At 59.8% G+C, this 25,832-nt stretch overlaps 3 protein-coding genes across 10 annotated transcripts, besides 12 other annotated features; 2 read left to right on the top strand and 1 right to left on the bottom strand.

The window, feature by feature from the left end:
- Window positions 638-1,249: an enhancer, noted in NCBI's record as "H3K27ac-H3K4me1 hESC enhancer chr11:640805-641416 (GRCh37/hg19 assembly coordinates)". NCBI's record gives its function as "activates a minimal SCP1, AML or CMV promoter by ChIP-STARR-seq in naive H9 embryonic stem cells {active_cell/tissue: H9 hESC(naive)}" and the evidence as "EXISTENCE:reporter gene assay evidence [ECO:0000049][PMID:30033119]".
- Window positions 1,250-1,861: an enhancer, noted in NCBI's record as "H3K27ac-H3K4me1 hESC enhancer chr11:640193-640804 (GRCh37/hg19 assembly coordinates)". NCBI's record gives its function as "activates a minimal SCP1, AML or CMV promoter by ChIP-STARR-seq in naive H9 embryonic stem cells {active_cell/tissue: H9 hESC(naive)}" and the evidence as "EXISTENCE:reporter gene assay evidence [ECO:0000049][PMID:30033119]".
- DRD4 (dopamine receptor D4) lies at window positions 1,348-4,785 on the bottom strand. Its single transcript, NM_000797.4, has 4 exons — window positions 4,465-4,785; window positions 2,509-2,621; window positions 1,748-2,406; window positions 1,348-1,653 (listed from the first exon to the last, which is right to left on the bottom strand). Exons 1-4 carry the CDS (start codon window positions 4,747-4,749, stop codon window positions 1,451-1,453), a joined length of 1,260 nt encoding a protein of 419 aa, NP_000788.2. The 5' UTR covers window positions 4,750-4,785; the 3' UTR covers window positions 1,348-1,450.
- Window positions 2,227-2,760: an enhancer, noted in NCBI's record as "H3K27ac-H3K4me1 hESC enhancer chr11:639294-639827 (GRCh37/hg19 assembly coordinates)". NCBI's record gives its function as "activates a minimal SCP1, AML or CMV promoter by ChIP-STARR-seq in primed H9 embryonic stem cells {active_cell/tissue: H9 hESC(primed)}" and the evidence as "EXISTENCE:reporter gene assay evidence [ECO:0000049][PMID:30033119]".
- Window positions 2,761-3,295: an enhancer, noted in NCBI's record as "H3K27ac-H3K4me1 hESC enhancer chr11:638759-639293 (GRCh37/hg19 assembly coordinates)". NCBI's record gives its function as "activates a minimal SCP1, AML or CMV promoter by ChIP-STARR-seq in naive and primed H9 embryonic stem cells {active_cell/tissue: H9 hESC(naive and primed)}" and the evidence as "EXISTENCE:reporter gene assay evidence [ECO:0000049][PMID:30033119]".
- Window positions 3,296-3,829: an enhancer, noted in NCBI's record as "H3K27ac-H3K4me1 hESC enhancer chr11:638225-638758 (GRCh37/hg19 assembly coordinates)". NCBI's record gives its function as "activates a minimal SCP1, AML or CMV promoter by ChIP-STARR-seq in naive H9 embryonic stem cells {active_cell/tissue: H9 hESC(naive)}" and the evidence as "EXISTENCE:reporter gene assay evidence [ECO:0000049][PMID:30033119]".
- Window positions 3,830-4,364: an enhancer, noted in NCBI's record as "H3K4me1 hESC enhancer chr11:637690-638224 (GRCh37/hg19 assembly coordinates)". NCBI's record gives its function as "activates a minimal SCP1, AML or CMV promoter by ChIP-STARR-seq in naive and primed H9 embryonic stem cells {active_cell/tissue: H9 hESC(naive and primed)}" and the evidence as "EXISTENCE:reporter gene assay evidence [ECO:0000049][PMID:30033119]".
- Window positions 4,365-4,898: an enhancer, noted in NCBI's record as "H3K4me1 hESC enhancer chr11:637156-637689 (GRCh37/hg19 assembly coordinates)". NCBI's record gives its function as "activates a minimal SCP1, AML or CMV promoter by ChIP-STARR-seq in naive and primed H9 embryonic stem cells {active_cell/tissue: H9 hESC(naive and primed)}" and the evidence as "EXISTENCE:reporter gene assay evidence [ECO:0000049][PMID:30033119]".
- Window positions 5,434-5,967: an enhancer, noted in NCBI's record as "H3K4me1 hESC enhancer chr11:636087-636620 (GRCh37/hg19 assembly coordinates)". NCBI's record gives its function as "activates a minimal SCP1, AML or CMV promoter by ChIP-STARR-seq in naive and primed H9 embryonic stem cells {active_cell/tissue: H9 hESC(naive and primed)}" and the evidence as "EXISTENCE:reporter gene assay evidence [ECO:0000049][PMID:30033119]".
- Window positions 5,968-6,503: an enhancer, noted in NCBI's record as "H3K4me1 hESC enhancer chr11:635551-636086 (GRCh37/hg19 assembly coordinates)". NCBI's record gives its function as "activates a minimal SCP1, AML or CMV promoter by ChIP-STARR-seq in naive H9 embryonic stem cells {active_cell/tissue: H9 hESC(naive)}" and the evidence as "EXISTENCE:reporter gene assay evidence [ECO:0000049][PMID:30033119]".
- Window positions 14,839-15,339: an enhancer, noted in NCBI's record as "H3K4me1 hESC enhancer chr11:626715-627215 (GRCh37/hg19 assembly coordinates)". NCBI's record gives its function as "activates a minimal SCP1, AML or CMV promoter by ChIP-STARR-seq in primed H9 embryonic stem cells {active_cell/tissue: H9 hESC(primed)}" and the evidence as "EXISTENCE:reporter gene assay evidence [ECO:0000049][PMID:30033119]".
- Window positions 14,873-15,745, top strand: SCT (secretin). Its single transcript, NM_021920.4, has 4 exons — window positions 14,873-14,981; window positions 15,065-15,166; window positions 15,265-15,357; window positions 15,524-15,745. Exons 1-4 carry the CDS (start codon window positions 14,911-14,913, stop codon window positions 15,621-15,623), a joined length of 366 nt encoding a protein of 121 aa, NP_068739.1. The 5' UTR covers window positions 14,873-14,910; the 3' UTR covers window positions 15,624-15,745.
- Window positions 14,951-15,245: a silencer, noted in NCBI's record as "tiled region #3794; HepG2 Repressive DNase matched - State 18:Pol2". NCBI's record gives its function as "represses a minimal TATA promoter and a strong SV40 promoter by Sharpr-MPRA in HepG2 cells {active_cell/tissue: HepG2}" and the evidence as "EXISTENCE:reporter gene assay evidence [ECO:0000049][PMID:27701403]".
- Window positions 15,746-17,098: 1,353 nt separating the features above from the next.
- CDHR5 (cadherin related family member 5) lies at window positions 17,099-25,471 on the top strand. Of its 8 annotated transcripts, none has more exons than XM_011520189.3 (15): window positions 17,099-17,236; window positions 17,322-17,497; window positions 17,791-17,841; window positions 20,150-20,242; window positions 20,391-20,492; window positions 20,599-20,709; window positions 20,804-20,974; window positions 21,668-21,758; window positions 21,890-21,987; window positions 22,173-22,373; window positions 22,467-22,580; window positions 22,664-22,748; window positions 23,300-23,455; window positions 23,943-24,100; window positions 24,284-25,471. In XM_011520189.3, exons 1-15 carry the CDS (start codon window positions 17,152-17,154, stop codon window positions 24,701-24,703), a joined length of 2,112 nt encoding a protein of 703 aa, XP_011518491.1. In that variant the 5' UTR covers window positions 17,099-17,151; the 3' UTR covers window positions 24,704-25,471. The 8 variants fall into 8 exon arrangements, with proteins under 8 accessions (XP_011518491.1, XP_011518490.1, XP_006718316.1 ...); XM_011520188.3 differs by having other exon boundaries at window positions 23,207-23,455; XM_006718253.4 differs by having other exon boundaries at window positions 23,114-23,455.
- Window positions 21,350-21,955: an enhancer, noted in NCBI's record as "H3K4me1 hESC enhancer chr11:620099-620704 (GRCh37/hg19 assembly coordinates)". NCBI's record gives its function as "activates a minimal SCP1, AML or CMV promoter by ChIP-STARR-seq in primed H9 embryonic stem cells {active_cell/tissue: H9 hESC(primed)}" and the evidence as "EXISTENCE:reporter gene assay evidence [ECO:0000049][PMID:30033119]".

Below are 25,832 nucleotides of genomic sequence, written 5' to 3'. Positions count from 1 at the left end.
AGAGGAATCCACTGTGACTCAGTCTGTTCCGGGGGTGACTGGGACAGGCTGGTCCTGGGAAGCAGGTAGTCGGAGAAGGTGTCCTGGAGGAGGCAGCCGCTGAGGCCATCACAGAAGTGCGTGGTCACCAGACGGGACGGGGCAGCCGCACTAAAGTAGTAATTGGGCTTGGTCCTCTCTCCACCCAATACTCGTTTTCTTTTCTTTTTTGAGACAGGGTCTCCGTCACCCAGGCCGGAGTGCAGTGGCACGATCTCGGCTCACTGCAGCTTTGACTCCCTAGCTTTAAGGGATCCTCCTGCCTCAGCCTCCCGAGTAGCTGGGATTACAGGCGTGACCACCACACCCAGCCTGCACTGAGTATTTTAGCAAGCTGAGGTTGTGCCCAATGCTGTAGACTGCACAGCCCACAGTCTGTCAGTGTTCAGATGGGAGCCTGGCACCCTGACTGGCCACCCTGGCTGCAAACGCCGAATCCCCAGCACAGGAAAGTTCCAGCCAGCACGATTGGGAGGCGGAGGGTCCCCCATTTCTCCCACAACCTGGGCCTGGGAGAGAGCTGGATCCAGTCCAGGGTAGGCTGTTCCTGCATGGAGGGCCCTGGGAGCCGCCCCTCTTCCCCCAGGGTCAGGGGCTGCACTGGTTGATGGAGCCAGGGTGCAGACAGGCAGCTTGGGTCGCTCTGCCCAGCCCCTGGCCCCGCTGCCGCCTCCCTGCTCCCACCCCTTGGCCCAGCCACATTGGTGGACGCTGGGCAGAGGTTGGCTGGGCACCAGGGGTGACTGAGCACGGAGCTCCCTCCAGGGAAGCCACTTGGTGGGGCCCCACCCATCACCACAGGCCCCTTGCTGTGGGGCTTGGGGCATCCTCTGGCCAGGGACTGGCAGGAAGCTAGGCTCTGGCCTCAAGGCAGCTTCTAAAATGACAGGTTGGGCTCCCCTGCCGGGGTCTGCTGGGGCAGCATGAGCCTGGAGCCCCCTGTGCCTGGTTCTCAGAGGTGGGAGTTGGCCCGGGCAGGGCCTGGCGGCTGACAGCCCCCCACCCCGCCTCTCCCCATTTGTTTCTTCCCATCGGAACTGGGCTTCCCCAGGAGACACCTTGCCCTGCTGGGTGCTGCTTCCTCTCCCCTGCAGAGAGGGGAAGCTGGGCCCCAGCGCTGCGGAACTGAGTGGCTCTCGGGGGCCCCTTCCCCCCTCACCCTGAGCAGGCGGCCGGCTTGGTGGGGTCTGCTCTGTGGGCTTCCTTGGCGGGGAGAAAGAGGTTAACTGGCTGGGGGGCCTGGGGCCACTGAGGCAGAAACCCCTCTTCCCCACTCCCCATCAGCCCCCAGGAGCCTTCACAGCTGAGTTTGGGAAGGAATTTGTTTAATTAACGTACAAAAGCGCCCTCCCCATCTCCTTGGTCCCTGAGGCCTGGCCATCAGGCCGGGGGGCGTCCGGGGGTGCCCGGCTCAGCAGCAGGCACGCAGGGCCTTGCGGAAGACGTTGCGGAACTCGGCGTTGAAGACAGTGTAGATGACGGGGTTGAGGGCGCTGTTGACGTAGCCCAGCCAGGTGACGGCGCTGACCAGCCGCGGGGGCACGGAGCAGGCAGGACACAGCGCCTGCGTGATGTGCACCACGAAGAAGGGCGTCCAGCACAGCAGGAAGGCCCCTGGGGGCGCCGAGAGCCGCGTTAGCGCCCCCCGCCCAGCCGGCCTCGTACCCCCCCCCTCCTCTCCTCCCCGCCCCTCAGGACAGGAACCCACCGACCACCACCGGCAGGACCCTCATGGCCTTGCGCTCCCGGCCGGTGATCTTGGCACGCCGCCTCCTGCGGGTCTGCGGTGGAGTCTGGGGTGGGAGCGCGGCGGCTCTGACGGCGTCGGGGGGAGCACAGTTGGAGCCGCAGGGGTCCGGGGGGAGGCCGGGCGCGGGGGGCGCACAGTCGGGGCCGCAGGGGTCCTGGGGGAGGCTGGGCGCGGCGGGCGCACAGTCGGGGCCGCAGGGACCCCGGGGAAGGCCGGGCGCGGGGGGCGCACAGTCGGGGCCGCAGGGGTCCTGGGGGAGGCGGGGCGCGGGTGGCGTGGGGGAAGGCGGGCCAGGGCCGCTGGGTCGGCGGGGCGCGCGGCCGTGCAGCTTGGCGCGACGTGCCACCTCCCAGCGCTGCAGGCCGCGGAACGTGGCCCAGTAGAGCAGCAGCATGAGCGGGCAGGGTAGGAAGAAGGAGCACACGGACGAGTAGACCACGTAGTCGCGGTCCTCCAGGCGGCACACGGCGGGGTCGCGGCCGCGCACGTCGTTGAGGCCGCACAGTACGGGCGCCGCCACCGCCGCGGACAGCAGCCACGTGGCGCCGATGAGCAGCAGCTGCCGGCGGCTCCCACCCTGCCGGTTGTAGCGCAGCGGCACGGCCACGGCCACGAACCTGCGGGGAGCGCCGAGGGGGCGCCGGACAGCGCACAGGCCGCGGTGAGGGCGGCGGGCGGGGCGCGGGGGCGCCGGGGCGCGGGCGGGGAGGGCGGCGCACCTGTCCACGCTGATGGCGCACAGGTTGAAGATGGAGGCGGTGCACAGCATGACGTCCATGGCCATGAGGGCGTCGCACAGGCGGGGGCTCAGCAGCCACGCGCCACCCTGGACCTGCGCGGCGACACCACAGGCCCTGAGGTTTCCCAGCCACCGCGGGCCCTTGTGACCCGCCCCCACTCTTATGGGTAGTTCCAGGGCTGAATACGGAGAAGGGGGCCCGGCTGTGAGCCAGAGGCCAGAGGACCGGGCAGGGAAACACCCCTTCCCCACGCAGATCTCCCTTTGTTTTGAGTTAGGGTCTCGCTGTGTCACCGCGGCTGGAGTGCTGTGGCTCCATCATGGCTCACTGTAGCCTGGAATTCCTGAGCTCAAGCGATCCTCCCACCTCAGTCTCCAGAGTAGCTGGGATTACAGCCGCGCGCCACCACCCCCGGCTGATTTGTTTTTCTTTTTGTTTTTTGAGACGGAGTTTCGCTCTTGTTGCCCAGGCTGGAGTGCAGTGGTGAGATCTCAACTCACTGCAACCTCCGCCTCCCAGGTTTAAGCGATTCTGCCGCCTCAGCTCCCCCGAATAGCTGGGACAACAGCCGCAGCCACCACCCCCGGCTGATATTTTAAAATTTTTTGTAGAGACCAGGCCTGGTATGTTTCCCAGGCTGGTCTCAAACTATCCTCCTGCCTTTGCCTCCCAAAGTCCTGGGATTACAGGCGTGAATCACGGCTTCTGGCCTTGGTCTCCCTTTTGTTACAAACATGAGAACGGCCTGGGGAATTCCCTGGGGGCGGGCCTGATATCATCGGGCTCAAAGGGAGCCCCTCCCCAGCCTGGGGTAGGCAGGGTCCCCGCTGGGCCTAGAAGCGAAGCTGGCTGCTCTGTTGGCTAAGTTCTCTGTGGGAGACTCGGGCACGTTAATTCATTTCTGTTTCTTCATCTGTAAGACAAGGGTGATGATAGTATCCACATCATAATTGTCTTGAAGATAAATTATAATTAAAAATATGAAGACCGTGCCCAGTGCCCAGCGTAGGACTCCACGTGGAGTGACTCTCTCCAAGGGCAAAGGAGCAGGCAGCCCCTCTAATCCTTCCCGCCGATTTGGGGAGATTAGGAGCTTAAACGTCGTCACTGTGACGTCTGCGGCTCGAAAGGAGCACAGGTCACGCGTGTCCCGTGCTGCTGGTCTCTGCCCCAGCCGCCTGGATTCACTGTGTCCATCAAGGGGAAACCTCGAGTCCCCCTCCCCCACAGTCGGGGACACCGCGTCTCCAGCTCAGCCCTAAGCTGCTTTTCTCTGGCCGCAGAGGGGCTGGCACCAAGGCCGACCCACTCGAGGGCCAGACCTGGTGTGGAGTGTGGGCTCCATCCCCCAATTCCCCCTCAGGCTTCCCCCCAGGGTTCTCAGCAGGGGCCTGGTCCCCACACACCCTCCCCTCCCCTGGGTTTTGTCCAGCCCAGGTCTCCCCTGCGAGCTGTGAGCCTCCTTCTGGGGGTGTGCCAGCATCTGCACTAGGTGTGTGTGGTGGGCAGTGGCTGTGGCAGTGTGTGTGTGTGTGTGTCCCACGGCAGCCAGGGGGCTGAGCCTGCATCTGCCTGTCTGTCCAGCTGGCTGCCCTGGAGGTGAAATCCAGCTACGGAGGGGACTGGGCTTGACAAAGTCGCCTGTTTCCGGGGTCCCTGGATAGAAGGACGGGCATCTCCTGGATAACAGACGCCAAGACAGACGGGGAAGGAGAAGAGGAACGAGGGTCGGGGGACAGACAGCGCAGCGGGTGGAAGGTCGCGAGGTGGCGGCGGTGGGTGTATCGCCGAGGGACAAGGCGCAGCGCCCCTGCCGCCGCCCCAGCTGGAAGCTCCGCACCAGAAAGGGGCCGGGTCGCGCCGGGTCCTCCGTAGGGACAGGGACGGGGAACCGAGGAGCAGGTGAGGATGCTCGTGCGGCCGGACGCGGCTCACCTCGGAGTAGACGAAGAGCGGCAGCACCAGGAGAGCGAGGAGGAGGTCGGCGGCCGCCAGGCTCACGATGAAGGAGTTGGTGGGCGTCTGCAGGGCGCGCTCGGTGGCCACGCTCACGCACACGAGCGAGTTCCCCGCGAGCACCGCGCCGATGAGCAGCACGCCCCCCACCAGCGCCGCCGCGCCCTGCCCAGCCAGCCCCGCAGATGCCCCCGCAGATGCCCCCGCGGCCGGCCCGCGCCCAGCCAGCAGCCCGTCCGCGTCCGCGGTGCTGCGGTTCCCCATGGCGCGCCCGGGCGGGCGCTGAGCACCGCGGACAACGCCGGGTCGCAAGCCGGGGAGTCCCTCCCCTCGGGCACGCCCCGGCCGGACCCTGGTCCCGCCCCCGACCCGCCCCGGCTCAGGGGGGCCCCCGCGGCGCTCCACCGTGAGCCCAGTATTTGCTCATCTTGGAATTTTGCGCAGGGAGAGACGGGCACGTGGACGAATGCGGCGGCCCAAAGAGACGGGAATGAAGCGAGGTGGTGGCCACGGGCAGGCCAGCATCGCCCGGCGCCGCGCGGGGTCCGCGACCCGAGAAACCGACAAGGATGGAGGGGCGGCCAGACCAGGCCCTGAAGCGCGCGGGCATCGACGCCAGCGCCATCCTACCCGGCCCGTGCGTGCGTCCCGGCCCTCGGGCGCTCACCCTAGTCCACCTGGTATCTGGCAAAACCTCCCTCCCAGGCCCGTTCCGCCAGACGCAGAAAGACCTGAGCTCAGGCTCTGCCCGCCTCCCCCGCGGACTCGCCTCGACCTCGTGCGCACCCTCCACGCCCGCTCCCCCTGCCCCCGACTCCGCGCCCGACTCAACCGCCGACGCCTAGCTCATCCCGCCGCCCCCCCCCCGCAGCCTCTGGCCCTCAGCCCCCGCGACCACCACGGTCAGCCGCGGCCCCACCCGTTGCACAGTTGATCCTCGCGTGGCCGCCTCCGAAACTGGGCGGACAGCTGAGCGGTCGACCCCGCTCCCTCCTCCATTCCCTCCGGCCCAAGACCGTGAGCTAGGTAGGCGCCCCTCTGACCCTGGGCAGGGGGTCCCGGGACCGGACAGTAGGTTCGGCTCGCGAGGAGGCCAGGAGAAAGACACGACAGGCCGGGGTAGGTTCCAAACGTGCAGAAGAGAAAGTGCTTGCAAAGCGCAGCAGAGAATTCTATGGACTCTTCACCAAAGAGGGGTGACCTGTGACCTGAGAGGTATTTTCTGTAGTCTGTCACTAAGGGGCCTAGAAGACACTAAAAGGGGGCACCACTCTGTGGGACCCCAGGCGGCGCACATCCTGATGCTCTAGTCTGTTTCTGGGAGGCCTGGAGTGGAGGGGCTGTGCCAGGAATTGAGGCCCCTGACCTCGAAGGTCTGGAGGACACGGGCTAGACGGAGGCGCTGACAGGGCGTGCGTTAAAGGGAGAAATGAGGACTCTGAGAAGGAGCAGGCACCGTGAGCCTCACAGGACAAGGTCACGGGGCTGCGGGGGAAGGGCCTGCACCAGGGACAGGTGTGCACAGGCATCAGGTGCGGCCGCAGCCAGGCTCAGTCCCTCTTGTGCAGATCAGTCTGCTGCCCTTGTGAACCCTTGAGCAAAAGAAGTCACCACAGGAGAGACCACCAGGGACAGGTGTGCACAGGCATCAGGTGCGGCCGCAGCCAGGCTCAGTCCCTCTTGTGCAGATCAGTCTGCTGCCCTTGTGAACCCTTGAGCAAAAGAAGTCACCACAGGAGAGACTGGGACAGTGGAAGTTTCTTCTCTCCCAGGATGGAACCGGGGAGGGTGGCCCTGGGGTCTCCGGCTGGGCGCCAAACGGCGAGTCCAGCCCAGCCTCTGGTCGGCTTAGAGTTCCTTCAAGTAGCCCCCAAGATGTCTGCGACCACCAAGAGTGAAAACCAAGCTAGGCGGAGAAAGGATGTGTGCAGCACACATCTCTGACACACAGATCCAGAAACAATGGAAACAATGAGAAAAGACAGACAACCCCAATTTGTTTTTTTTTTTTTTTTTTTTTTGAGATGGAGTTTCACTCTTATCACCCAGGCTGGAGTGCAGCAGCACAATCTTGGCTCACTGCAACCTCCGTCTCCCGGGTTCAAGCGATTCTCCTGCCTCAGCCTTCTGAGTAGCTGGGATTATAGGCGCCCGCCACCACGCCCGGCTAATTTTTTTGTATTTTTAGTAGAGACACGGTTTCATCATATTGGCCAGGCTGGTCTCGAACTCCTGACCTCAGGTGATCCACCTGCCTCAGCTTCCTAAAGTGCTGGGATTACAGCTGTGAGCCACTGCCCCCAGCCTCCACTAAACTTCTGTTGTTTATCTGAAAATCAAATGTAACTGGATGTGATCACATCTTACTGCAATCATGGCTCACTGCAGCCTCAATCTCCTGGGCTCAAGTGATCCTCTGGCCTCAGCCTCCTGTACAACTGAGACTACAGATGCGTGGTGCCACACCCAGCTAATTTTCTTATTTTTTGTAGAGACGGGGTCTCGCCATGTTAGCCCAGCCGGTCTCAAACTCCTGGGCTCAAATGATCCTCCCACTTCAGCCTCTCAAAGTGCTGTGATTACAGGCATGAGCCATACAGCCAGCCTAAACAATTTTTAATGAGGACCTCCACTCATACCTTACACATTAAAAAATTAACTCAAATATGCTGTCAGGAGAATCAAAAGACACAGACCAGGAAACGACATTTGCAAATGGCCACGTCTGGCAATGTTTCTTCCATTTTAGTGTAGTAGGACGTCGTTGATTTTCCTGATGGCTACTCATGTTTGACCACTTTTCCCATGTGCCTGTTAACTGTCAGCATGCCCTCTTCTGGAATGTGCCTGTTAAAAATCTTTGCTTTTGTTAAAAATTGGGTTGTCTACGCCAGGCGCAGTGGCTCACACCTGTAATCCCAGCACGTTGGGAGGCCGAGGCAGGTGGATCACCAGGTCAGGAGTTCAAGACCAGCCTGGCCAACATAGTGAAACCCCATCTCTACTAAAAATACAAATAATTGGCCAGGCGTGGTGACTCACGCCTGTAATCCCAGCACTTTGGGAGGCCGAGGCAGGCAGATCACAGGGTCAGGAGATCGAGACCATCCTGGCTAACACGGTGAAACCCTGTCTCTACTAAAAAATACAAAAAAATCAGCCGGGCGTGGTGGCGGGCACCTGTAATCCCAGCTACTGAGGAGGCTGAGGCAGGAGAATGGCATGAACCCGGGAGGCGGAGATTGCAGTGAGCCAAGATTGTGCCACTGCGCTCCAGCCTGGGTGACAGAGCAAGACTCCGTCTCAAAAAAAAAAAGCCGGGCGTGGTGGTGTGCACCTGTAATCCCAGCTGCTTGGCAGGCTGAGGAAGGAGAATCACTTGAACCCAGGAGGCAGAGGTTGCGGTGAGCGGAGATCACGTCATTGCACTCTGGCCTGGGAAACAGAGCAAGACTCTGTGTCAAAAAATAAATAAATAGGCTGGGCGAGGTGGCTCATGCCTGTAATCCCAGCACTTTGGGAGGCCGAGGCAGGCAGATCACGAAGTCAGGAAATCGAGACCATCCTGGCTAACACAGTGAAACCCTGTCTCTACTAAAAATACAAAAAATTAGCCAGGCGTGGTGGCGGGCACCTGTAGTCCCAGCTACTCGGGAGGCTGAGGCAAGGGAATGGCGTGAACCCGGGAGGCAGAGCTTGCAGTGAGCCAAGATCGCACCACTGCACTCCAGCGTGGGCGACAGAGCGAGACTCCGTCTCAAAATAAATAAATAAATAAATAAATAAATAAATAAATAATAAATTAAAATTAAAAAAGAAACAAATTTTTTTTAAAAATTAGCAATCATATATCCAGCAAATGGCTTGTATACAAAAAAGATTAATAATTCTCAAAACTCAACAGTAATGATATCACAAAAAGAAAATTCCAAATGAGTATCCTTTATGAATATAGATGCAAAAGTTCTCGAAAAAATATGAGCAAACACAGTCCCTTTTAAAGTGCTGCCTGCCAGAAAAGCAGCATTTTTTTTTTTTTTTTGAGATGGAGTCTCACTCTGTCACCCAGGCTGGAGTGCAGTGGTGTGATCTCGGCTCACCACAACCTCTGCCTCCCGGGTTCACGCTATTCTCCTGCCTCAGCCTCCTGAACAGCTGGGACTACAGGCACGTGCCACCATGCCCAGCTAATTTTGGTATTTTTAGTAGAGACAGGGTTTCACTCTGTTGGCCAGACTGGTCTCAAACTCCTGACCTCATGATCCGCCCACTTTGGCCTCCCAAAGTGCTGGGGTTACAGGCGTGAGCCAGTGCCTGGCCGAAAAACAGCATTTTTAAAAGGATTATGTACCATAACCCAGTGGGATTTATCCCAGGAATGCAAGGGTGAACGAACAGACGAAATTCAATGTCATACACCACATTAACAGAATGAAGAAAAACCCACGCGATCATCCCAACTGATGCAGAAAAAACCATTTCATAAAATTCAAAACCCTTTCATGATAATAAGACTCAATAAACTAGGAATAGAAACAAACTTCATCAGGCCGGGCGCCGTGACTCATGCCTGTAATCCCAGCACTTCGGAAGGCCGAGGCGGGTGGATCACTTGAGATCAGGAGTTCAAGACCAGATGCCCAACATGTTGAAATCCCATCTCCACTAAAAATACAAAAATTAAAATTAGCTGGGCATGGTGGCGCACGCCTACAGTCCCAGCTACTCAGGAGGCTGAGACACGAGAATTACGTGAATCCAGGAGGTGGAGGCTGCAGTGAGACGAGATCGCACCACTGCACTCCACCCTGAATGACAGAGGGGGACTGTCTCAAACAAACAAACAAAATACAAACACAGCTAACATCATACTCAATGGTGAGAAACAAAAAGCCTTTGAAAGAGACAAGGATGCCCACTGCTGCTGCTTCTGTTCAACATTGTTCTGGACATTCTAGCAAGAGCATTACTCAAGAAAAAGAAATTAAAGGTATCCAAAATTGGAAAAGAAAACTATTTCTACTTGCAGATGACATGGTCTTATGTATAGAAGATCCTCCACAACAGGCCAGGCTTGGTGGCTCAAGCCTGTAATCCCAGCACTTTGGGAGGCTGAGGCGGGCGGATCTCAAGGTCAGGAGATCGAGACCATCCTGGCTAACATGGTGAAACCCCGTCTCTACTAAAATTACAAAAAATTAGCCGGGCGTGGTGGCGGGCACCTGTAGTCCCAGCTACTCAGGAGGCTGAGGCAGGAGAATGGCGTGACCCTGGGAGGCGGGGCTTGCAGTGAGCCAAGATCGTGCCACTGCACTCCAGCCTGGGCAACAGACCAAGACTCTGTCTCAAAAAAAAAAAAAAAAGAAAGACACCCCATCTCTACTAAAAATACAAACATTAGCTGGGTGTGGTGGCGTGAGCCTATAGTCACAGCTTTTTGGGAATCTGAGGTGGGAGGATCCTTTGAGTCCAGGAGGTTGAGGCCGCAGTGAGCTGTGATTGAGCCAACATATTCCAAGCTGGGCAACAAAGTGAGACCCTGTCTCAAAATAAAATAAATAATGAAAATGAGTAAAGGACTTGAATAGACATTTCTTCAAAGAAGATACCCAAATGGCCGGGTTCAGTGGCTCACGCCTGTAATCCCAGCACTTTGGGAGGCCGAGGCAGGCGGATCCCTTGAGGTCAGGAGTTCGAGAACAGTCTGGCCAACATGGTGAAACCCCGTCTCTACTACAAATACAAAAATTAGCTGGGTATGCTGGCGGGCGCCCATAATCCCAGCTACTTGGGAGGCGGAGGTGGGACAATCGCTTGATCCCGGGAGGCAGAGGTTACAGTGAGCCAAGAACACGCCACTGCACTCCAGCCTGGGCAACAGTGCGAGACTCTGTCTTAAAAAAAATATGGCTGGGCACGGTGCCTCACATCTGTAATCCCAGCACTTTGGGAGGCCGAGGTGGGCGGATCATGAGGTCAGGAGATGGAGACCATCCTGGCTAACATGGTGAAACCCCGTCTTTACTAAAAATACAAAAAAATTAGCCAGGCATGGTGGCGGGCACCTGTAGTCCCAGCTACTCAGGAGGCTGAGGCAGGAGAATCGCCTGAACCTGGGAGGTGGAGGTTGCAATGAGCCGAGATCGCACCATTGCACTCCAGTCTGGGTGACAGAGCGAGACTCCGTCCCCAAAACAAACAAACAAACAAAAAATATACATATGTCACACACAAATGGCCACAAAGCACTTGAAAAGATGCTCAACCTCATTAGTCACTGGGGAAATGCAAATCAAAACCACAGTAAGATACCATTCCATATCCATTAGGATGGCCATGGTAGTAAATAAATAAATAAATAAATAAATAAAAATACCAAGTGTTAAGGATGAGGAGACATTCACTGCTTTTGGGAATATAAAATGGTCACTGTGAGAAGAAGTCCAGCAGTTCCTCAACAAGTTTCACGTAGAGTTGCCATATGACTCAGTGGGTATGTTACATACCCAAAAGAAGTGAAGACAGGTGTTCAAATAAAAGCTTGTATGTAAATGTTCACAGCGGCACTATTCACAATATACAAAAGGGGCCGGGCATGGTGGCTCACGCCTGTAATCTCAGCACTTTGGGAGACCGAGGTGGGCAGATTGCTTGAGGCCAGAAGTTCAAGACCAGCCTGGCCAACATGGTGAAACCCCATCTCCACTGAAAATACACAAAGTACTGGCCGGGCACAGTGGCTCATGCCTGTAACCCTAGCACTTTGGGAGGCCGAGGCGGGTGGATCACCTGAGACCTGGAGTTGGAGACCAGCCTGGCCAACAGGGTTAAACCCCGTCTCTACTAAAAATACAAAAATTAGCCGGGCGTGGCAGGTGCCTGTAATCCCAGCTACTTGGGAGGCTGAGGCAGGAGAATAGCTTGAACCCGGGAGGCGGAGGTTGCAGTGAGCTGAGATCAGGTCAGTGCACTCCAGCCTGGGTGACAGAGTGAGAGTCCGTCTCTAAAGTAAATAAATAAATAAATATTTTTTAAAAATACAAAAATTAGGGGGTGTGGTGGTGCATGCCTGTAGTCCCACTACTTAGGAGGCTGAGGCAGGGGAATCACTTAAACCTGGTAGGCGGAGGTTGCAGTGAGCGGAGATCATATACTGCACTCCAGCCTGGGCAACAGAACGAGATTCTGTCTCAAGCAGACAAACAAACACAATATATACAAGGTAGAAATAAACCAAACGTCCTCAGCAGGTGAATGGATGAACCAAATGCAGTGTGATTTTTCCATTAAAATGAATGAAATTCTGGGGCCAGGCGCGGTGGCTCCTGCGTGTAATCCCAGCACTTTGGGAGGCTGAGGCGGGCGGATCACCTGAGGTCAGGAGTTCAAGACCAGCCTGACCAATATGGCAAAACCCTGCCTCCATGAAAAGTACACAATTAGCTGGGCATGGTGGTGCTGTAATCCCAGCAACTCCAGAGGCTGAGGCAGGAGAATTGCTTGAACCCAGAAGGCGGAAGTTGCAGTGGGCCAAGATCGCGCCATTGCACTCCAGTCTGGGCAACAAGAGTGAAACTCCATCTCAAAACAAATAAATAAAAATAAATAAATAAATAAAAATAGTGACCAGGGTCTTGCTATGTTTCCCAGGCTGGTCTCGAACTCCTGGCCTCAAACCATCCTCCTGCCTCACCGTCTCAAGTAGCCGAGACCACAGGCATGTACCACCATGCCCAGCTTTTAGGATTTTATTGGTATGAAATACCCAGAACAGGCAGATCCACAGAGACAGAAAGTAAATTCATTGTTACTCAGGAGCTGAAGGGATGGGGGAAGGGGAGGTAAATGCTTTATGGATTTGAGATTTTCCATCTGGGGAGTAAAAAGTTCTGGAACTAAACAGCGGTGCTGGTTGTATAATTCCGTGACCGTACTAAGTATCACTTCATACTTTAAAATGGCTAAAATGGTAAGTTTCATGTTATGCATGTTTTCCCACAATAAAAAAAAAAACAAAACTCAGCAGTAGAGAACAATTTAAAAACGGGCAAGAGATGTGAAGATACATTTAACCCACGACAACATGCAAATGGAAACAAGCACCTGGAAAGAGGTTCGGAATCACCCGCCACTGGGGAAATGCAACTAAGACCACAAGGAGGTGTTGCCGCAGAGAGAATGGCTGAAGGTTAAAAATAGCGACTGCAGGGATGTTGACAGTGTGCAGAGAAAGTGAGGCCGGGCGCTGTGGCTCACGCCTGTAATCCCAGTGCTTTGGAAGGCCGAGGCAGGTGGATCACTTGAGGTCAGGAGTTTCAGACCAGCCTGGGCAACATGGTGAAACCCTGTCTCTACTAAAAATATAAAAATTAGCCAGTCATAGTGGCAGGCACCTGTAATCCCAGCTACTTGGAGGGCCGAGGCACAAGAACTGCTTGAAACCGGGAGGCGGAGGTTGCAGTGAGCTGAGATGGCCCCACGGCACTCCAGCCTGGGTGACAGAACGAGACTCCCTCTGAAAAAGAAAGAAAGGAAGGAAAGAAAGGAAGAAAGGAAGAAGAAAGGAAGAAAGGAAGAAAAAGAAAAAAAGAAAGAAAGAAAGAAAGAAAGAAAAAGAAAGAAAGAAAGAAAGAAAGAAAGAAAGAAAGAAAGAAAGAAAGAAAGAAAGAAAAGCAAGCAAGCCAGCAAGCCAGCCAGCCAGCCAGCCCCACATTGCTGGCGGGGCTGTGAAATGATGCAAACGCTGGGGAAAATATTGTGGCTGATTTAACAGACGGATACAGTGCATGACTCGCAACCACAGCAGAACATCAAAGGGCTTGACGGCCATTTCTCCGTCCACTCCATGATGTATAAATGGCTCACAGACACTTGAGAACATGCTCCACATCGCTGGCCATTAGGGAGATGCCAATCAAAACCGCAGCGAGACACCACGTCGCACCCACCGGCATCGTTAGTACGCGACAAACAAAAAGCCACAAAGTAGCAAGTGTTGGCGAGGACAAGAACCGTGTCCCTGCTGCGCTGCTGGGAAGACAGTTTGGCGTTTCCTCAGAATATTTAACACATAATTACTCTGTCACCCAGCAATTCCCTCATAACTATACACCAAGAACGCTTGAAAACGGGATCGGGAAGCGCCGTTTGCACACCCACGTTCACAGCAGCGTTACTCGCCGTCGCCCCAAAGGGGAGGCAGCCCAGGTGTCCATCAAGATGCCCACAGATGAGCGGACGCGGTCGATGCGGTCCCTGCACACAGCGGGACACAGTTCCCCACAAAAGGGAAGGAGATTCCCACACAGGCCAGGCCGCGGCGGCGAAGGCGGAGGATGCTGCGCTGAGAATCCAGCCGGTCTCCAAAGGACAAATCCCGTGAGGCTCCCCCTGCGCGCAGTCCCTGGAAGCGCTGAATCCACAGACAGAAAGTGGACGGGGCGCCGGGGCTGAGGAGGGGAGGGGGCGTTTGATGGGGACAGAGCTTCATTCTGGGAGGACAGGAGAGTCTGAGAACGGATTTTGGGAGGACGGGAGCGTCTGTGAACGGATTTTGGGAGGACGGGAGCGTCTGTGAACGGATTTTGGGAGGACGGGAGCGTCTGTGAACAGATTTTGAGAGGACGGGAGAGTCTGAGAACGGATTTTGGGAGGACGGAAGAGTCTGAGAATGGATTTTTGGAGGACGGAAGAGTCTGAGAACGGATTTTGGGAGGACGGGAGCGTCTGTGAACGATTTTGGGAGGACGGGAGCGTCTGTGAACGATTTTGGGAGGACGGGAGCGTCTGTGAACGATTTTGGGAGGACGGGAGCGTCTGTGAACGGATTTTGGGAGGACGGGAGCGTCTGTGAACGGATTTTGGGAGGACGGGAGCGTCTGTGAACGGATTTTGGGAGGACGGGAAAGTCTGAGAACGGATGGTGGGGATGGATGCACCGAATGATCCTGAATCGCGCACTTCAAAGCAGATAAAATGGCAACACCGGCCCCCCAACAGTCACGCCACGCTGAAGCTGGAGACGAACTCGCCCCAGCAAGGTGCTCCAGGGGCCTCCGGAACTCCGGCCGCAGCCCCTTCCCCGGGGCCCCCCAGTCCCCCCCCAAACCCTCCCCCAAGCCCTCCGGCCCCTCCGCCCCCGCAGGCTCCGAGGCTTCGCGGTGCGGTTCCCTCTGCGGGTCCCAGGCCCGCGCTCCGTTCGCCCCCCAGGCCGGGACGTCCCCCTCCCCCAGCCGGCCGAGGGGCGCCAGCGCGGCGGAGGGGGCGGGAGGCCGGGCCGGGGCGACAGCTGGGGGGGCGGCCCTGACCTTCCCGGGATCGCTGGGCGCGGCCGGGCCGTCCCCTTTCCGGGCGCCGCCATAAAGGGGCCTTGCGGGGGCCCGGGGCCGTGGCCGCAGCGCTCAGCTCCTGCGCCCCGACCCCGCCATGGCCCCCCGGCCCCTCCTGCTGCTGCTGCTGCTCCTCGGGGGCTCCGCCGCGCGCCCCGCGCCCCCCAGGTGAGCCGCCCGCCAGGCCCGCCCGCCCCCCGGGCCCCACCCGCCCCCAGTGCGCCCTGACCCCGACCCCCGACCGCCCGCAGGGCCCGGCGACACTCAGACGGGACGTTCACCAGCGAGCTCAGCCGCCTGCGGGAGGGCGCGCGGCTCCAGCGGCTGCTACAGGGCCTGGTGGGGAAGCGCAGGTGAGGCCGGGTGGGGTGGGGGGTCCTGGCGTGGTGCCCCAGCAGCAACGCGCGACCCCCCAGCTCCAGGACTAACTCTGTTTTGGGGCGGGGGGCAGCGAGCAGGACGCAGAGAACAGCATGGCCTGGACCAGGCTCAGCGCGGGTCTGCTCTGCCCGTCAGGGTCCAACATGCCCATCCTGCAGGCCTGGTGAGCACCCGCCCCACCGCAGACCCCACTCCAGACCCCACCCCAGACCCCTCCTTCTGTCCTGGCCTCCCCGGGTCAGCGCTGGTGGCCACTGGAGGCCCAATTCCAGCAGCGGGGCCGGGGTCTCCAGCCCCAGCCCTCAGACCCTCACGTGCTGTCTCTGCAGGATGCCCCTGGACGGGACCTGGTCTCCCTGGCTGCCCCCTGGGCCTATGGTTTCAGAACCAGCTGGCGCTGCTGCAGAAGGAACCTTGCGGCCCAGATGAGGAAGGAACCCCCTCACCACCTGCCCGGCCCAGGAGCGCAGCTGCATTTGGGGTGGGGGGCAGGATGGGGGAGAGGGGGAGGGGTGGTACTTGGCACCAATAAAGGAGGAATCAGACCCAGACGCTGGGAGTTGTCTGTGTCCACTCAGTGTAATCGAGGCAACCCCTGTGTAGCGGGGCTGAGGGATGGATGGAGGCCCATCCACCCAGGAGGGACTGACCACACCCAGCTGCCCTTTACACCTGCAGGCACGGCGGCCCCTCATCCTTATCTCTGGCATCAGGGCCACCTCCTGTACCTCGACTAAGTACTGCAGGGCCCCGCCCCACCCCTTGTCATCCATTAGGAAACATTCTGGGGCTCGGGGGATCCCGGACACCCTCTCAGCTCCTGCCCGGGGGCCCATGTGGTCAGTGTTTCTGTAAGGGGTAGTGGGGAGGGTGTGAAGGGGCCAGGGGGGCTCAGGCGGGCAGGAAGAGGGGAGGGTGGAGGTGTCACCTGGGGTGCCAGGAATCCACTCTGGCGTGAGGACTCCGGACCCTCTGTCTCGTGTGGCCTCGGACCAGTGGCTTGACCCCTCAGAGCCTGTGGAGCACGGAGCGTGCAGGGCTTGAAGGCGACCATGAGGGCACCGTGCAGGGTTAGGACACTGAGCCCAGCCCCAGCCATGAGAGGCCAGAAGCTTCGGCGCACAGGCCTGGAGGAGGAGAACTCCACCTACCCCTCACGACAGCCACTTCCTCGCCCCGACCCTACCCAGTGGCCTCTCCCTAGAGCTGGGGGCTTCTGGGGGGCCAATGAAAAGAGCAGGGCAAGTGTCGAGTCTCACCTCACCCCCTCTGTCGGGCACCAGGGCCCCCCAGGAACTCCCAGCTGCCCCTCACAGCCCCGCCTTAGCCTCAGTCACTAAGGCCCTGTCCAGCCCCGCCCTGAGAAGCCGACTTGTCTCTGGGGCAGGCAGGGGTGTCCCCAGGACACAGTGAGGAGAGCCTTTTCCTTCAGAACCTGCTGTCAGGCAGGGAGGGAGGTGCTCCCTGGGGAACACCCGGGTTCTGAGCCTCAAGGGGTGGCCTTAGGAACTTTGCCTGAGGGAGATCTTAGGGGAGGAGCCAAGCCAGGGCAGCCTGGGCTAGGGAGGCAGGTTCCAGACACCCCGACACCAAGGGCCGAGCCCCCGCCCCCAGCCCCCAGCTTCTCTCCCACACCCTAGCCCTGCCCCTGCCCTGCCCCTACCCCCACGGCACCCATGAGCCGCTCTCCAGTCCCTTCTGCCCTGTGCCTCGGTGCCTGTGACCTGAGCCCCCTGGTTGACCCCTGCACTCAGTCCAACTTGGGCCAAACGACTGCCCCTCCTTCTGGCAGTGGGCTGGACCAGCCGGCCAGCGGGAGCCCCCTTGGCAGAAGCCGGTCGTAAAGGATCATAAACTGGGCGGCGTCTGGCTGGGGCGAAGGTCGCTGAGGTAGGAACTGCGCCAGTCCTAGACGCCAGACCCGCTCAGACCCTCCTGCCAGGTGACAGCCGCCAAGATGGGGTCTTGGGCCCTGCTGTGGCCTCCCCTGCTGTTCACCGGGCTGCTCGTCCGACCCCCGGGGACCATGGCCCAGGCCCAGTGTATGTGCGGGCAGGGGTAGGTGGGGCACGGGCGGCGGGGAGCCAGGGGCTGGGAGGCACTGATCCCTCCTCTGCAACCTTACAGACTGCTCTGTGAACAAGGACATCTTTGAAGTAGAGGAGAACACAAATGTCACCGAGCCGCTGGTGGACATCCACGTCCCGGAGGGCCAGGAGGTGACCCTCGGAGCCTTGTCCACCCCCTTTGCATTTCGGATCCAGGGAAACCAGCTGTTTCTCAACGTGACTCCTGATTACGAGGTGTGGGCGGCAGGCGGGCGGGATATGGGGGTCCCGGGAGAAGGGCACCTGCATCCTCAGGCCACACCTCCCTTGGGGGCCTAGGAGTTCTATGCCTGCGGGCATCCACTGACACCCATGCTTGGTGGTGCCTGCCCTAGAAGGCTGGGCCATTTCGGGATGAAGCTGCCTGGGCCCACACCCTCAGCACTGACCACTGATGATGGGGACCCTGGGCCAGCGCCTGCCCACTTGGCCTCAGTCTCCCCACCTGTGGGGCAGGACGGTGACTGCAGACCTGTCTACATCCACAGGAGAAGTCACTGCTTGAGGCTCAGCTGCTGTGTCAGAGCGGAGGCACATTGGTGAGTCCCCGCCCCGCTCTCCCCGCCCCACCCGGCCACCTCTGCTGGGCTCTGCCCTGCCGGTCCAGGACCAGTCTTTGATGACGTCAGCTAGGGTGTGGTTTCAAATTCCACCCCCCCGAGGGTGATGCCCACATTTCCTCCAGTCCAGACTCTGCCCTGAGCTGTGGAGTCCCCGTCACTGACCCCTTGTCCAGCAGACACCCCATCCAGTGTGCCCAAGACTCCCACCCACTCCCTCAACCATCCACAAGGGAGGCACCTTTATCCTGCCAGTCACGGGGACCACCTTGGTTCCCACTCGCCCTCCCTCCCCACGTGTCCCCCACAGCCCCCCACTGGTAAATCTGTTGGCTGTGCCCCAGCTCGACCCAGAAATCCAGAGTCTGTCCACCTCCAGTCCCATCAGGGCCGGGACACCAGCACTCATTTTGGGAAACTTCCAGCTGGCCCACCGGCTTCCCTGTTGCCCTTTGCTGGCCCCAGTCCACTCCACGTGGCAGAACAGCCCCTGTGGATGTTGTAAACCAAGGCTGCCCAGCCCACCCCAGCCCTCCACGGCTCCTTTCTCACCGAGTCAAACCCAGACATACTGTGCAGAGGCTCCACTGCAGCCTCAGGGCTCCCGCCAGGCACGCCCCTCCCTCACCGGCTCAGGACTGCAGTCTTCAGAGAAATCCCAACCACCCTATGCCCTGTTGCATCCCAGCCCCGCTCCCCCAACATCCTGCTTCTTGACCGGCGGCATTTTTTTCGGCTTTATTAAGGAAAATTGCAGAATCCTGAGGCCAGCACAGGCCCCCTCACCTACCAGCACACAGCAGGCTCTGTGCCCTCCATGCACCACGGCACGTCACCTGCACATATCTTGGGATATGTCTCTGAAAGAGAGAGACTCTTTTTTGAGACAGAGTCTCACTCTGTCACCCAGGCTGGCGTGCAGTGGAGCGATCTCGGCTCACTGCAACTTCCGCCTCCCGGGTCCAAGCGATTCTCCTGCCTCAGCCTCTTGAGTAGCTGGGATTACAAGCATGCGCCACCACGGCCGGCTAATTTTTGTATTTTTAGTAGCGACGGGGTTTCTCCATGTTGGTCAGGCTGGTCTCAAACTCCTGACCTCAGGTGATCTGCCCGCCTCGGCCTCCCAAAGTGCTGGGATTACAGGTGTGAGCCACCGTGCCCGGCTGACAATCCAGTTTCTTCACAAATAAATCTCCAGGAAAAAAGATGGGAGAAAGGGAAAGGTACAGATGAACAGAAACTCAGGAGAATTACCAACCAGGTCCATAATGTGGGCCCTGATTCAAACAAACAATTGTTAAAAAACCCTTCAGAGACCACGGGGAATGTGGCATCCTGGACATTTGAGGTAGAAAGTGACCGCTTTTCCCAGGTGTGACAACGACATTGTGGTTATGTTCTAAAAAGAAGAGTCCTGGCTGGGCGCCGTGGCTCACACCTGGAATCCCAGCACTTTGGGAGGCCGAGGCGGGTAGATCACCTGAGGTCAAGAGTTCGAGACCAATGTGGCCAAAATGGTGAAACCCCGTCTCTACTAAAAATACAAAAATTAGCTGGGCATGGTGGCAGGCACCTGTAATCCCAGCACTTTGGGAGGCCGAGGTGGGCAGAGGCCGAGGCAGGAGAATCGCTTGAACCTGGGAGGCAGAGGTTGCAGTGAGCCGAGATCACACCACTGTACTCCAGCCTGGGTGACGACAGAGCGAGACTGTATCCAAAAAAACCCAAAAACCAAAAAACAAAAACAAAAACCAAAAAAAAAAAAAAACAGAGAAAAGAAAATGGATTGTCTTTCCTCACCTGAGATTCTGCTGGCTGCATCCCCAAGTACCTGCATTATTTTTCTGTGGAGCACCTGCCACCTCCTGGCTTTATAAAGTCCTTTTTGTCTGTTGTTATAAGTCCTGCCAGGACAGGCACCACCAGGCAGAGATTTGTCTCTTGTGATCTCTGAATCCCAACGCCTAGAGCTGTGCAGCCCCTGTAGCCCCCCAACAACTGAATGAGCGAGTGGACGGATGGCCGTCGAGGGGTGCACCCCACTCACGGCGGGGACGGGTGGCCGTTGAGGGGTGCACCTCACTCACGGCGGGGACGGGTGGCCGTTGAGGGGTGCACCTCACTCACAGCAGGGACGGGTGGCCGTCGAGGGGTGCACCTCACTTAGGGCGGGGACAGGTGGCCGTTGAGGGGTGCACCTCACTCACGGTGGGGACGGATAGCCGTCGAGGGGTGCACCTCACAACGGGGAGGGGCTGTGGGAGAGGCTGACGGCCACATCCTGCAGGTGACCCAGCTAAGGGTGTTCGTGTCAGTGCTGGACGTCAATGACAATGCCCCCGAATTCCCCTTTAAGACCAAGGAGATAAGGGTGGAGGAGGTGAGGCCAGCGAAGCCGCGGGGACTGGGCACGGGGGTGTGGGAGCCCAGGGTGAGGGCAGGAGGTGAGTGGTGGCCGGGGGCTCAACCACAGTGGGGGTCCACAGGGGCCAAGAGTGTGGCCGGACCAAGCCCCTCTCCCTCCCCAGGACACGAAAGTGAACTCCACCGTCATCCCCGAGACGCAACTGCAGGCTGAGGACCGCGACAAGGACGACATTCTGTTCTACACCCTCCAGGAAATGACAGCAGTCAGTGCCGCCCACCCTGCCCCAGCACGAGCCCCTCGCCTCTGACACCCACAGCCGCCCTCGCCCTCCAAGGCTCTTAGGCTCTGTCCTCCCTGACCCTCCCCAGGGTGCCAGTGACTACTTCTCCCTGGTGAGTGTAAACCGTCCCGCCCTGAGGCTGGACCGGCCCCTGGACTTCTACGAGCGGCCGAACATGACCTTCTGGCTGCTGGTGCGGGTGAGCAGGTCACCCCAGCCCCGAGTCCCACACACTTGAGGCCCCCCGGCCCCAGCTGCTCCCAGGCCTGATCCAGCACAGCCGTCTGTTGCAGGACACTCCGGGGGAGAATGTGGAACCCAGCCACACTGCCACCGCCACACTAGTGCTGAACGTGGTGCCCGCCGACCTGCGGCCCCCGTGGTTCCTGCCCTGCACCTTCTCAGATGGCTACGTCTGCATTCAAGCTCAGTACCACGGGGCTGTCCCCACGGGGCACATACTGGTAATGGGGAGGGAGGGGCAGTGCACGGGGCAGGGCCTTCTAGGCAGGCTGGACACAGGGACGGCCAGGATCAGGAGAGGAAGGGCGGGGTCGGGGTCAGGGGGTGGGGCCGATTTCGGTCGTGATTTTGAAACAAATGCAGACTCTCCTTGTAAACCAACCCTTCCCATCTTGAGCGGTGAGGGAGCAAACCCTGAACACACAGGGAGGAGCGTGGGCCCCAGAGCCAGGCGGTCTCAGGGGCCTGGGGAGGTGGGCTGGGGCCCTGGAGCTCTTAAGGGATGCTGACATCTCTGCCCTGCTCACAGTCACCACTGGGCCCACACAGGCTGTCTGCAAACCTTCCTGGCACCAAGGCACCTGGGGCCACCAAACAGTACATGGGAGGCAGAAATGCAGACCCCGGGAGCCCCCACTTCCTAAATGTTTGCTTACCCGTCAAGACAAGCCTTGTGCAAATGGGACTCAGTATCTTTGGGCCACTGGACTCATTCATTAGTAAGGGACCCACAGGGGTGTTACTGATTGTGATGCTGGGACAAGGGACTGTCCTAGGCAGGCAGGGACGCCCGGCCACCAGCGGGACTGGGCCCCTCCTCAGCCAACCCTGCCCTTGATGGGGAGTCAGAGGGGCCAGGCTGGGGCCATCCACCCCAGCCCCACGACGTGCCCTCCCTTCCGCCATCCCTGAAGCCATCTCCCCTCGTCCTGCGTCCCGGACCCATCTACGCTGAGGACGGAGACCGCGGCATCAACCAGCCCATCATCTACAGCATCTTTAGGGGTGAGTGGGGCCCAGCCCTCAACAATGCCCTGTACCCCCTCTGTCCCTGTCTCCATCCCCACCTTGGGCAGAGCTGGCTGGGTCCCTGGGCCTCAGGGGGCCGGGGCTGAGCACTTCCATCATCCTCCCAGGAAACGTGAATGGTACATTCATCATCCACCCAGACTCGGGCAACCTCACCGTGGCCAGGAGTGTCCCCAGCCCCATGACCTTCCTTCTGCTGGTGAAGGTGAGGTGGGCACCTGCATGGGGGGCAGGGCAGAGGGGGAAGGGTGGAAGGTAGGGCGGGGGGTCAGGGCTGGGGGGCCGGGGCAGGGCCCCCGCCAAGTCTGCACCTGCCTTTCCTGAGCCCCAGCCTTCAGCGCCAGCTCCACCTTCAACCCCACTAGTCACTGCTGCCTCCCCCGCCTCCAGGGCCAACAGGCCGACCTTGCCCGCTACTCAGTGACCCAGGTCACCGTGGAGGCTGTGGCTGCGGCCGGGAGCCCGCCCCGCTTCCCCCAGAGACTGTATCGTGGCACCGTGGCGCGTGGCGCTGGAGCGGGCGTTGTGGTCAAGGATGCAGCTGCCCCTTCTCAGCCTCTGAGGATCCAGGCTCAGGACCCGGAGTTCTCGGTAGAGAGTGCATCCAAGGCCTCCCCTCTGTGGGTGGGTCAGGGCTGTACGTGGGAGGCAGCCTGGCCGGGGACTCAATGAGACCCTGTCCAGGACCTCAACTCGGCCATCACATATCGAATTACCAACCACTCACACTTCCGGATGGAGGGAGAGGTTGTGCTGACCACCACCACACTGGCACAGGCGGGAGCCTTCTACGCAGAGGTGCGGGGCAGGGCAGGCGGGCATCTCCAAGGGTGTGGGGCTTAAAGATGTGTCTAGGAGGGACAAGCCCCTTCCTGCCCCAGGTTGAGGCCCACAACACGGTGACCTCTGGCACCGCAACCACAGTCATTGAGATACAAGTTTCCGAACAGGAGCCCCCCTCCACAGGTAAGCCCCCCTCCACAGGTGAGCCCCCAGGGTTCTCCAAATAAGCCCCTTCGGTGGCTCCTTTCCCGCGGTAGGTGTGCAAGGGGCGGGCAGAGGCAAGCCCAAGCACTGTTCCCGGCCCCCAGATGTCCCCCCATCCCCAGAGGCTGGAGGAACAACTGGGCCCTGGACCAGCACCACTTCCGAGGTCCCCAGACCCCCTGAGCCCTCCCAGGGACCCTCCACGACCAGCTCTGGGGGAGGCACAGGCCCTCATCCACCCTCTGGCACAACTCTGAGGCCACCAACCTCGTCCACACCCGGGGGGCCCCCGGGTGCAGAAAACAGCACCTCCCACCAACCAGCCACTCCCGGTGGGGACACAGCACAGACCCCAAAGCCAGGAACCTCTCAGCCGATGCCCCCCGGTGTGGGAACCAGCACCTCCCACCAACCAGCCACACCCAGTGGGGGCACAGCACAGACCCCAGAGCCAGGAACCTCTCAGCCGATGCCCCCCAGTATGGGAACCAGCACCTCCCACCAACCAGCCACACCCGGTGGGGGCACAGCACAGACCCCAGAGGCAGGAACCTCTCAGCCGATGCCCCCCGGTATGGGAACCAGCACCTCCCACCAACCAACCACACCCGGTGGGGGCACAGCACAGACCCCAGAGCCAGGAACCTCTCAGCCGATGCCCCTCAGCAAGAGCACCCCATCTTCAGGTAGCACCCACTCTGTTGCCTTCCCTCCCTGACTCCGGTCATTGGCTGGTATGGGAAACGCTGTAGGAAGGGTCCACCCCAGGCTGACCTGGCCTGACCATGAAATCCCAAAGAGGAGTCTGTTTGGGACTGACAGACACAGACAGGCCCAAGGCCCCCAGTGAGGTAACCTGTGATGTGTGTAGGACAGAGGCCAGATGTGGGGTCCAGCGAATCCCACGATTCCCACGGCTGCCGCTCACCCTGCAAGTCCCTGCACCTCTTGTGAGCTCCTGTGAGCAGCTTGGCCTCCCGGGGGGGAGGGGGTGGGCAGGGTCTCGATGGGACACACAGGCCCCTTGAGCCAGGGTCAGCAGAGCCTGAGATTTGGGAGACAGCCCAGGCCTGGGTGGAACCCAAGTGTCCCAAGCCTGGCACAGGTTGGCATGGGAAATGCCTGGGGCACTCAACAGTGCGGGGATGATGACGTTTTCCACTGCGATGCCAGGTGGCGGCCCCTCGGAGGACAAGCGCTTCTCGGTGGTGGATATGGCGGCCCTGGGCGGGGTGCTGGGTGCGCTGCTGCTGCTGGCTCTCCTTGGCCTCGCCGTCCTTGTCCACAAGCACTATGGCCCCCGGCTCAAGTGCTGCTGTGGCAAAGCTCCGGTGAGGCCCAGGATGGAGAACAGGGCAGGCGACCAGGCAGGAAGTGGGGGACGGGGGACAGGAGAGGGGAGGGCAGAGGGACAGATGTGGAGACGGAGGGGTGTCCAGCGTGGAATGAGGGTGTGCAGGGCCAAGGCTGCAGAGACCCAGGGACCCCGCTGACGCCTCGACTCCCGCCTGCAGGAGCCCCAGCCCCAAGGCTTTGACAACCAGGCGTTCCTCCCTGACCACAAGGCCAACTGGGCGCCCGTCCCCAGCCCCACGCACGACCCCAAGCCCGCGGAGGCACCGATGCCCGCAGAGCCCGCACCCCCCGGCCCTGCCTCCCCAGGCGGTGCCCCTGAGCCCCCCGCAGCGGCCCGAGCTGGCGGAAGCCCCACGGCGGTGAGGTCCATCCTGACCAAGGAGCGGCGGCCGGAGGGCGGGTACAAGGCTGTCTGGTTTGGCGAGGACATCGGGACGGAGGCAGACGTGGTCGTTCTCAACGCGCCCACCCTGGACGTGGATGGCGCCAGTGACTCCGGCAGCGGCGATGAGGGCGAGGGCGCGGGGAGGGGTGGGGGTCCCTACGATGCGCCCGGTGGTGATGACTCCTACATCTAAGTGGCCCCTCCACCCTCTCCCCCAGCCGCACGGGCACTGGAGGTCTCGCTCCCCCAGCCTCCGACCCGAGGCAGAATAAAGCAAGGCTCCCGAAACCCAGGCCATGGCGTGGGGCAGGCGCGCGGGTCCATGGGGGTCCCATTCACTCAGTCCCCTGTCGTCATTAGCGCTTGAGCCCAGGTGTGCAGATGAGGCGGTGGGTCTGGCCACGCTGTCCCCACCCCAAGGCTGCAGCACTTCCCGTAAACCACCTGCAGTGCCCGCCGCCTTCCCGAGGCTCTGTGCCAGCTAGTCTGGGAAGTTCCTCTCCCGCTCTAACCACAGCCCGAGGGGGGCTCCCCTCCCCCGACCTGCACCGGAGATCTCAGGCACCCGGCTCATCTCAGACCTCCCGCTCCCGACCCTACACAGAGATTGCCTGGGGAGGCTGAGGAGCCGATGCAAACCCCCAAGGCGACGCACTTGGGAGCCGGTGGTCTCAAACACCTGCCGGGGGTCCTAGTCCCCTTCTGAAATCTACATGCTTGGGTTGGAGCGCAGCAGTAAACACCCTGCCCAGTGACCTGGACTGAGGCGCGCTGGGGGTGGGTGCGCCGTGTGGCCTGAGCAGGAGCCAGACCAGGAGGCCTAGGGGTGAGAGACACATTCCCCTCGCTGCTCCCAAAGCCAGAGCCCAGGCTGGGCGCCCATGCCCAGAACCATCAAGGGATCCCTTGCGGCTTGTCAGCACTTTCCCTAATGGAAATACACCATTAATTCCTTTCCAAATGTTTTAATTGTGAGAGTATCTGATATTCTTGACTGAACAATGTAAAAAACCCAAAGGGGGCTGCGCACGGCGGCTCTCGCCTAAATCCCAGCACTTTGGGAGGCCGAGGTGGGCAGATCACCTGAGGTCGGGAGTTCGACACCAGCCTGACCAACATAGAGAAACCCCGTCTCTACTAAAAATACAAAATTAGCCGGGCGTGGTGGTTCATGCCTGTAATCCCAGCTACTCGGGAGGCTTAGGTAGGAGAATCACTTGAACCCGGGAGGCGGAGGTTGTGGTGGGCCAAGATTGTGCCACCGCACTCCAGCCTGGGTAACAAAAGCGAAACTCCATCTCAAAAAAAGAAACGCAAACGGT

The sequence above is a fragment of the Homo sapiens genome, chromosome 11, assembly GCF_000001405.40.
Source record: "Homo sapiens chromosome 11, GRCh38.p14 Primary Assembly".
Taxonomy (NCBI): Eukaryota; Metazoa; Chordata; class Mammalia; order Primates; family Hominidae; genus Homo; species Homo sapiens.
This window is presented reverse-complemented; position numbering and strand designations above follow the sequence as displayed.

Coding starts and splice junctions, on each gene's coding strand:
- DRD4 (NM_000797.4), bottom strand. CDS start 4,749: ATGGGGAACCGCAGCACCGCGGACGCGGACGGGCTGCTGGCTGGGCGC. Junction 2,622..4,464: donor CGCTCTTCGTCTACTCCGAG/GTGAGCCGCGTC, acceptor GTCGCCGCGCAG/GTCCAGGGTGGCGCGTGGCT. Junction 1,654..1,747: donor GGTCCTGCCGGTGGTGGTCG/GTGGGTTCCTGT, acceptor CGGCGCCCCCAG/GGGCCTTCCTGCTGTGCTGG.
- SCT (NM_021920.4), top strand. CDS start 14,911: ATGGCCCCCCGGCCCCTCCTGCTGCTGCTGCTGCTCCTCGGGGGCTCC. Junction 14,982..15,064: donor GCGCGCCCCGCGCCCCCCAG/GTGAGCCGCCCG, acceptor GACCGCCCGCAG/GGCCCGGCGACACTCAGACG. Junction 15,167..15,264: donor GGCCTGGTGGGGAAGCGCAG/GTGAGGCCGGGT, acceptor GGCGGGGGGCAG/CGAGCAGGACGCAGAGAACA.
- CDHR5 (NM_021924.5), top strand. CDS start 17,152: ATGGGGTCTTGGGCCCTGCTGTGGCCTCCCCTGCTGTTCACCGGGCTG. Junction 17,842..20,149: donor GTCAGAGCGGAGGCACATTG/GTGAGTCCCCGC, acceptor CACATCCTGCAG/GTGACCCAGCTAAGGGTGTT. Junction 23,456..23,942: donor CAAGAGCACCCCATCTTCAG/GTAGCACCCACT, acceptor CTGCGATGCCAG/GTGGCGGCCCCTCGGAGGAC.